This window comes from Homo sapiens, chromosome X (assembly GCF_000001405.40).
Source record: "Homo sapiens chromosome X, GRCh38.p14 Primary Assembly".
NCBI classification, from domain to species: Eukaryota; Metazoa; Chordata; class Mammalia; order Primates; family Hominidae; genus Homo; species Homo sapiens.
In genome coordinates this window covers 116,717,531-116,726,923 of record NC_000023.11, presented here as the reverse complement: position 1 = coordinate 116,726,923, position 9,393 = coordinate 116,717,531, and the positions used below count along the sequence as shown (strand labels likewise).

At 44.8% G+C, this 9,393-nt stretch overlaps 1 annotated feature.

Annotated features, from left to right (window-relative positions):
• Positions 6 to 838: an enhancer, noted in NCBI's record as "OCT4-NANOG-H3K27ac-H3K4me1 hESC enhancer chrX:115860054-115860886 (GRCh37/hg19 assembly coordinates)". NCBI's record gives its function as "activates a minimal SCP1, AML or CMV promoter by ChIP-STARR-seq in primed H9 embryonic stem cells {active_cell/tissue: H9 hESC(primed)}" and the evidence as "EXISTENCE:reporter gene assay evidence [ECO:0000049][PMID:30033119]".

Genomic DNA, 9,393 nt, shown 5'->3' with positions numbered 1-9,393 from the left:
GGGCTTAAATTTCTCCCCAGAAATTGGTGTTTTTCTTTTTTATCGCATTGTCAGGCTGCAAATTTTCCAAACTTTTATGCTCTGCTTCCCTTTTAAACGTAAGGTTTAATTTCAGATCACCTCTCAAGTTCAAAATTCCACATATTTTTAGGGCAGGGGCAATATATTGCCAGTCTCTTTGTTAAAGCATAGCAAGAGTGGCCTTTGCTCCTGTCAGGCCTCTGAGCCCAAGCCAAGCCATCACATCCCCTGTGACCTGCATGTACACATCCAGATGGCCGGTTCCTGCCTTAACTGATGACATTCCACCACAAAAGAAGTGAAAATGCTCTGTTCCTGCCTTAACCGATGACATTATCTTGTGAAATTCCTTCTCCTGGCTCATCCTGGCTCAAAAGCTCCCCTACTGAGCACCTTGTGACCCCCCCACTCCTGCCTGCCAGAGAACAACCCCCCTTTGACTGTAATTTTCCTTTACCTACCCAAATCTCATAAAATGGCCCCACCCTTATCTCCCTTCGCTGACTCTCTTTTTGGACTCAGCCTGCCTGCACCCATGTGAAATAAACAGCCTCGTTGGTCACACAAAGCCTGTTTGGTGGTCTCTTCATACGGATGCAAGTGAAATTTTGGTGCCGTGACTCGGATTGGGGGACTTCCCTTGGGAGATCAATCCCCTGTCCTCCTGCTCTTTGTTCTGTGAGAAAGATCCACCTATGATCTCTGGTCATCAGACCAACCAGCCCAAGGAACATCTCACCAATTTTAAATCTGGTAAGTGGCCTCTTTTTACTCTCTTCTCCAACCTCTCTCACTATCCCTCAACCTCTTTCTCCTTTCAATCTTGGTGCCACACTTCAATCTCACCCTTCTCTTAATTTCAGTTCCTTTCCTTTTCTGGTAGAGATGAAGGAGACGCATTTTATCTGTGGACCTAAAACTCCGGCGCCGGTCACGGACTCAGGAAGACAGTCTTCCCTTGGTGTTTAATCGTGCGGGGATGGCTGCCTGATTATTCACCCAAGTTTCAGAGGTGTCTGACCACGCGGGGATGCCTGCCTTGGTCCTTCACCCTTAACAGCAAGTACCACTTTTCTGGGGGGCAAGAACCCCCCAACCCCTTCTCTCTGTGTCTCTACCCCTTCTCTGATTTTCTGGTGGGCAAGAAACCCCCAACCCCTTCTCTCCATGTCTCTACCCCTTCTCCACTTTTCTGGGGGGCAAGAACCCCCCAACCCCTTCTCCTTCACCCTTAGTGGCAAGTACCACTTTTCTAGGGGGCAGGAATCCCCCAACCCCTTCTCTCCATGTCTCTACCCCTTCTCTGCTTTTCTGGGGGGCAAGAACCCCCCATCTCTTCTCTCCATGTCTCTACCCCTTCTCTGCTTTTCTGGGGGGAAAGAACCCCCCATCTCTTCTCTCCATGTCTCTACCCTCTCTTTTCTCTGGACTTGCCTCCTTCACTATGGGCAAGCTTCCACCCTCCATTCCCCCTTCTTCTCCCTTAGCCTGTGTTCTTAAAAACCTAAAACCTCTTCAACTCACACCTGACCTAAAACCTAAATGCTTTATTTTCTTCTGCAATGCCGCTTGACCCCAATACAACCTCGACAGTTGTTCCAAATAGCCAGAAAATGCCACTTGCAATTTTTCCATCCTACAGGATCTAAATAATTCTTGTCGTAAAATGGGCAAATGGTCTGAAGTGCCTGACATCCAGGCATTCTTTTACACATCGGTCCCTCCCTAGTCTCTGTTCTCAATGCAACTCCTCCCAAATCTTCCTTCTTTCCCTCCCGCCTGTCCCCTCAGTCCCAACCCCAAGTGTCTCTCAGTCTTTCTAATCTTCCTTTTCTACAGACCATCTGACCTCTCCTCTCCTCCCCAGGTCGAGCTAGGTCCCAATTCTTCCTCAGCCTCCACTCCCCCACCCTATAATCCTTTTATCACCTCCCCTCCTCACACCCTGTCCAGCTTACAGTTTTGTTCCACGACTGGCCCTTCCCCACCTCCCCAGCAATTTCCTCTTAAAAAGGTGGCTGGAGCTAAAGGCATAATCAAAGTTAATGCTCCTTTTTCTTTATCCGACCTCTCCCAAAATCAGTTAGTGTTTAGGCTCTTTTTCATCAAGTATAAAAACCCAGCCCAGTTCATGGCTCGTTTGGAAGCAACCCTGAGATGCTTTACAGCCCTAGACCCTGAAAGGTCAGAAGGCCATCTTATTCTCAATATGCATTTTATTTTACTACCCAATCTGCTCCCGACATTCAATAAAGCTCCAAAAATTAAATTCCAGCCCTCAAACCCCACAACAGGACTTAATTAACCTTACCTTCAAGGGGTGCAATAATAGAGTAGAGGCAGCCAAGTAGCAATGTATTTCTGAGTTGCAATTCCTTGCCTCCACCGTGAGACAAACCTCAGTCACATCTCCAGCACACAAGAACTTCCAAACACCTAAACTGCAGCGGCCAGGCATTCCTCCAGGCCCGCCTCCAGGCCAGGAGCTTGCTACAAATGTGGGAAATCTGGCCACCAGGCCAAGGAATGCCCACAGCCCGGGATTCCTCCTAAGCTGTGTCCCATCTGTGTGGGACCCCACTGGAAATCGGACTGTCCAACTCACCTGGCAGCCACTCCCAGAGCCCCTGGAACTCTGGCCCAAGGCTCTCTGACTCCTTCCCAGATCTTCTTGGCTTAGCAGCTGAAGACTGACGCTGCCCAATCACCTTGGAAGCTTCCTGGACCATCACAGATGCTTTAGGTAACTCTCACAGTGGAAGTTAAGTCTGTCCCCTTCTTAATCAATACGAAGGCTACCCACTCCACATTACCTTCTTTTCAAGGGCCTGTTTCCTTTGCCTCCATAACTGTTGTGGGTATTGATGGCCAGGCTTAAACCTCTTAAAACTCCCCAACTCTGGTGCCAACTTAGACAATACTCTTTTAAGCACTCCTTTTAGTTATCCCCACCTGCCCAGTTCCCTTATTAGGCTGAGATATTTTAACTAAATTATCTGCTTCCCTGACTATTTCTGGGCTACAGCCATGCTTCATTGCCACCTTTTCCCCCAGTTCAAAGCCTCCTTCACATCTTCCCCTTGTATCTCCCCACCTGAGCCCACAAGTATACCATACCTCTATTCCCTCCTTGGTGACCGATCATGCACCCCTTACCATCTCATTAAAACCTAATCACCCTTACCCCACTCAATGCCAATATCCCATCCTGCAGCACAATTTAAAAGGATTAAAGCCTGTTATCACTCGCCTGATACAGTATGGCCTTTTAAAGCCTATAAACTCTCCTTACAATTCCCCCATTTTACCTGTCCTAAAACCAGACAAGCCTTACAGGTTAGTTCAGGATCTGCGCCTTATCAAGCAAATTGTTTTGCCTATCCACCCCGTGTGTGCCAAACCCGTATACTCTCCTATCCTCAATACCTCCCTCCACAACCCATTATTCTGTTCTGGATCTCAAACATGCTTTCTTTACTATTCCTTTGCACCCTTCATCCCAGCCTCTCTTTGCTTTCACTTGGACTGACCCTGACACCCATTAGGCTCAGCAAATTACCTAGGCTGTACTGCTGCAAGCCTTCACAGACAGCCCCCATTACTTCAGTCAAGCCCAAATTTCTTCCTCATCTGTTACCTATCTCAGCATAATTCTCATAAAAACACACATGCTCTCCCTGCTGATTGTGTCCGACTGATCTCTCAAACCCCAACACCTTCTACAAAACAACAACTCCTTTCCTTCCTAGGCATGGTTAGTGCAGTCAGCATTCTTACACAAGAGCTGGGACTGCACCCTGTAGCCTTTCTGTCCAAACAACTTGACCTTACTGTTTTAGCCCAGCCCTCATATCTGTGTGCGGTGGCCACCGCCACCCTAATACTTTTAGAGGCCCTTAAAATCACAAACTATGCTCAACTCTCTACAGTTCTCATAACTTCCAAAATCTATTTTCTTCCTCACACCTGACACATATACTTTCTGCTCCCCGGCTCCTTCAGCTGTACTCACTTTTTGTTGAGTCTCCCACAATTACCATTGTTCCTGGCCCAGACTCCAATCCGTCCTTCCACAGTATTCCGGATACCACACCTGACCCCTATGACTGTATCTCTCTGATCCACCTGACATTCACCCCATTTCCCCATATTTCCTTCTTTCCTGTTCCTCACCCTGAACACACTTGGTTTATTGATGGTAGTTCCACCAGGCCTAATCGCCACACACCAGCAAAGGCAGACTATGCTATAGTACAAGCCACCAGCCTGCCTCTTAGAACCTCTCATTTCCTTTCCATCATGGAAATCCATCCTCAAGGAAATAACTTCTCAGTGTTCCACCTGCTATTCTACTACTCCTCAGGGATTATTCAGGCCCCCTCCCTTTCCTACACATCAAGCTCGAGGATTTGCCCCCACCCAGGACTGGTAACTCTTAATTCCCTCTTAGAGTGGATAGATGATCTTTGCTGGCAGGGAACCCTCCAATACTTTCACCCTGATGAAGTTCTATTCTTTACTTTTATACTCACTCTTATTCTCATTCCCATTCTTATGCCACCCTCTACCTCTCCCCAGCTAACTCCACCACACTATCAACCTTACTCATTCTCTCCTAGCCGTTTCTAATCCCTCCTTAGCAAATAACCACTGGCTTTGCATTTCCCTTTCTTCCAGCACCTACACAGCTGTCCCCGCTTTACATGCAGACTAGGCAACATCTCCTGTCTCCCTGCTCCTCCGAACTTCCTTTAACAGCCCTCACCTTTACCCTCCTGAGGAACTCATTTACTTTCTAGGCAGGTCCAGCAAGACCTCCCCAGACATTTCATATCAGCAAGCTGCCGCCCTCCTCAGCACTTACTTAAAAAACCTTTCTCCTTATATCAACTCTGCTTCTCCCATATTTAGACCTCTCACAACACAAACTACTATTCCTGTGGCCGCTCCTTTATGTATCTCTTGGCAAAGACCCACTGGAATTCCCCTAGGTAACCTTTCACCTTCTCAATGTTCCTTTACTCTTCATCTCCAAAGCCCTCTTCTTGTTTACTTATACCCAGCCCCGTAAATAATAGTGAAAGGTTGCTCATAGATACTCAACGTTTTCTCATACACCATGAAAACTGAACCTCCCCCTCTACATAGTTACCTCATCAGTCCCCATTACAACCTCTGACAGCTGCCGCCCTAGCTGCATCCCTAGGAGTCTAGGTACAAGACACCCCTTTCAGCACTCCTTCTCATCTTTTTACTTTGCATCTCCAGTTTTGCCTCACACAAGGTCTCTTCTTCCTCTGTGGATCCTCTACCTACATGTGTCTACCTGCTAATTGGACAGGCATGTGCACACTAGTTTTCCTTACTCCCAAAATTCAATTTGCAAATAGGACCGAAGAGCTCCCTGTTCCCCTCATGACACCAACATGACAAAAAAGAGTTATTCCACTAATTCCCTTGCTTGTCGGTTTAGGACTTTCTGCCTCCACTATTGCTCTCTGTACTGGAATAGCAGGCATTTCAACCTCTGTCACAACCTTCCATAGCCTGTCTAATGACTTCACTGCTAGCATCACAGACATGTCACAAACTTTATCAGTCCTCCAGGCCCAAGTTGACTCTTTAGCTGCAGTTGTCCTCCAAAACCGCTGAGGCCTTGACTTACTCACTGCTGAAAAAGGAGGATTCTGTATATTCTTAAATGAAGAGCATTGTTTTTACCTAAATCAATCTGGCCTGGTATATGACAACATAAAAAACTCAAGGATAGAGCCCAAAAACTTGCCAATCAAGTAAGTAATTACGCTGAACCCCCTTGGACACTCTCTAATTAGATGTCCTAGGTCCTCCCAATTCTTAGTCCTTTAATACTTGTTTTTCTCCTTCTCTTATTCCATTTAGTTTTTCAATTCATACAAAACTGAATCCAGGCCATCACCAATAATGCTACATGACAAATGTTTCTTCTAACAACCCCACAATATCACCCCTTACCACAAAATCTTCCTTCAGCTTAATCTCTCCCACTGTAGGTTCCCATGCTGCCCCTAATCACACTGGAAGCAGCCCTGAGAAACATCACCCATTATCTCTTCATACCACCCCCAAAAATTTTTGCCATCCCAACACTTTACCACTATTTCATTTTATTTTTCTTATTAATATAAGAAGACAGGAATGTCAGGCCTCTGAGCCCAAGCTAAGCCATCATATCCCCTGTGACCTGCAGGTACACATCCAGATGGCCAGTTCCTGCCTTAACTGATGACATTCCACTACAAAAGAAGTGAAAATGGCCTGTTCCTGCCTTAACTGATGACATTATCTTGTGAAATTCCTTCTCCTGGCTCATCCTGGCTCAAAAGCTCCCCTACTGAGCACCCTGTGACACCCACTCCTGCCCATCCAGAGGACAACCCCCCTTTGACTGTAATTTTCCTTTACCTACCCAAATCTTATAAAACGGCCCTACCCCTATCTCCCTTCACTGACTCTCTTTTCGGACTCAGCCCACCTGCACCCAGGTGAAATAAACAGCCTTGTTGCTCACACAAAGCCTGTTTGGTGGTCTCTTCACACCGACACGATTGAAAGCTCCAGTTCCCAATGAGTTTCTCATCCCCATCTGAGACTACCTCAGCTGAACTTTATTGTCCATATCACTATAAGCACTTTGGTCAAAGTGATTCAACAAGTCTCTAAGAAATTCCAAACATCCCCACATCTTTGTCTTCTTCTGAGCCCTCCAAACTGTTTCAACTTCTGCTTGTTATGCAGTTCCAAAGTCACTTCCACATTTTTTGTATCTTTATAGCAGTACCCCACTACCTAAGTAACAATTTACTCTATTAGTCCCTTTTCACACTGCTATAAAGAAATACCCACGTGGTGGCTCATGCCTGTAATCCCAGCACTTTGGGAGGCCAAGGCAGGTGACTAACCTGAGGTCAGGAGTTTGAGACCAGCCTGGCCAACATGGTGAAACCCCATCTCTATGAAAAATACCAAAAATTAGGTGCGTGTGGTAGTGAGTGCCTGTAATCCCAGCTACTTGGGAAGCTGAGGCAAGAGAATCACCTCAACCTGTGAGATAGAGGTTGCAGTCAGCTGAGATTGCACCACTGCCCTCCAGCCTGGGCAACAAGAGTGAAACAAGAAAGAGAGAAAGAGAGAGAGAAGGAAGGAAGGAAGGAGGGAAGGAAGGAAGGAAGGAAGGAAGGAAGGAAGGAAGGAAGGAAGGAAGGAAGGAAGGGGAAGGAAGGCCCAAGACTGGATAATGTATAAAGGAAATAGTTTTTATTTACTCACAGTTTCACATGGCTGAGGAAGTCTCAGGAAACTTGCAATCATGGCACAAGGCAAGGGGAAGAAAGGACCTTCTTTACCTGGCAGCAGGAGAAAGAAGTGTAAACAGGAGAAATGCCAGATACTTATAAAACCATCAGATCTTATAAAAACTCACTATCATGAGAAAAGCACAGGGGATACTACCACCATGATCCAATCACCTTCTTTCCTCGACGTGTGGGGATTACAGGTCTCTCCCTCAACACATAGCAATTACAATTTGAGATGAGATTTGGTTGTGGACAGAAAGCCAAACCACATCACTATTGTTCTGTTCTTTGTATCCACGTGTACTCAATGTTTAGCTCCTACTTATAAGTAAGATTATATAGAACTTGGTTTTATGTTCCCATATTGGTTTCCTTAAATAATGGCCTCCAGCTCCATCTATGTTGCTGCAAAGGACATAATCTCAATCTTTTTTATGGCTATGTAGTATTCATGGTGTATGATATGGTTTGGCTCTGTGTTCTCCACCCCTCCCATCACAGACCTAGATGCCTAGGAGAAAAAAATGTTTTTTTGGGCCAGGCCTAGGGTCCCACTGCTTTGTGCTGCTTTGGGACATGGCATCCTGTGTCCCAGCCACTCCAGCTCCAGCCGTGGCTAAAAGAGGCCAAGGTACAGCTCAGACCATTGCTTCAGAGGGTGCAAGCTCCAATCCTTTTTGGCTTCCATGTGGTGTTGAGCTTGTAGGTGTGCAAAAGGCAAGAGCTGAGATTTGGGTGCTTCCACACAGGTTTCAGAGGCTGTATGGAATTGCCTGGATGTTCAGGCAGAAGTCTGCTTCAGGGACAGAGCCCTTATGGAGAACCTCTATTAGGGCAGTGCAGAGGGAAAATGTGGGGCTGGAGCCCCCAAACAGAGTCCCTACTGGGGCACTCAACCTTTCTCCTCAACCTTGTCAGCATCTGTTAATTTTTGACTTTTTAAATAATAGTGGTTAGAAATTTTGAGTATTTTTTCATATGCTTTTTGGCCACTTATGTGTCTTTTTTTTTTTAAATGCCTGTTCATGACCTTTGCCTAATTTGTAATAGGGTTGTTTGGTTTTGCTTGCTAATTTGCATAGTTTGTAGTTTGTCTAGTTTGTTGTACAGCTTGAAGTTTCTTATAGATCATGGTTATTAGACCTTTCTCACATGCATAGTTTGCAAGTATTTTCTTCCATTCTGTAGGTCTTCTTTTTGCAGTGTTGATAGTTTCTTTTGCAGTGCAGAATCTTTTTAGTTTAATTAAGTTCCATTTGTCAGTGTTTGCTTTTGTTGCAATTGCGATTGACATCTTCATTATTAAATCTTGGCCAGGGCCTATGTCCATCATGGTATTTCCTAGGTTTTCATTGGGGTTTTTATAGTTTTAGGTTTTACATTTAGTTCTGTAATTCATTTTGAGTTGTTATTTTTACATGGTATAAATTAGGTGTCCAGTTTCAATATTCTGCATTTGGCTATGCCAGCACAATTTGTTGAACAGGGAGTCTTTTCCCTCTTGCTTGTTTTTGTCAATCTTATCAGAGATCAGATGGTTTTAGGTGTGTGGCTTTACTTCTGGGCTCTCTTTTGTGTTTCTGTGGTCTATGTGTCTGTTTTATACCAGTACCACGCTGTTTTGGTTACTGTCATCTTTTAATATATTTTAAAGTCAAGAAGAAGTGTGAGGCCTCTGACTTTTTTTTTTCTTAGTATTGCTTTGGTTTTTCAGGCTTTTTTTGGTTTCACATAAATTTTCGAATATATATATATATTTAATTCTGTGAACAATGTCGTTGGAAATTTAATAGAAATAGCATTGAACCTGTAAATTGCTTTGTGCAGTATGGACAGTAAACGAATATTGACTCTTCTTATCCATGTAATGTTTTTCCATTTGTTTGTGACATCTTTAATTTCTTTGAGCAGAGTTTTGTAATTCCCACAGTAAAGATTTTTCAGCTACCTGGTCAGCTATATTCCTAGATTTTTTTTTAATTTTATTATTATTATACTTTAAGTTTTAGGGTACATGTGCACAATGTGCAGGTTT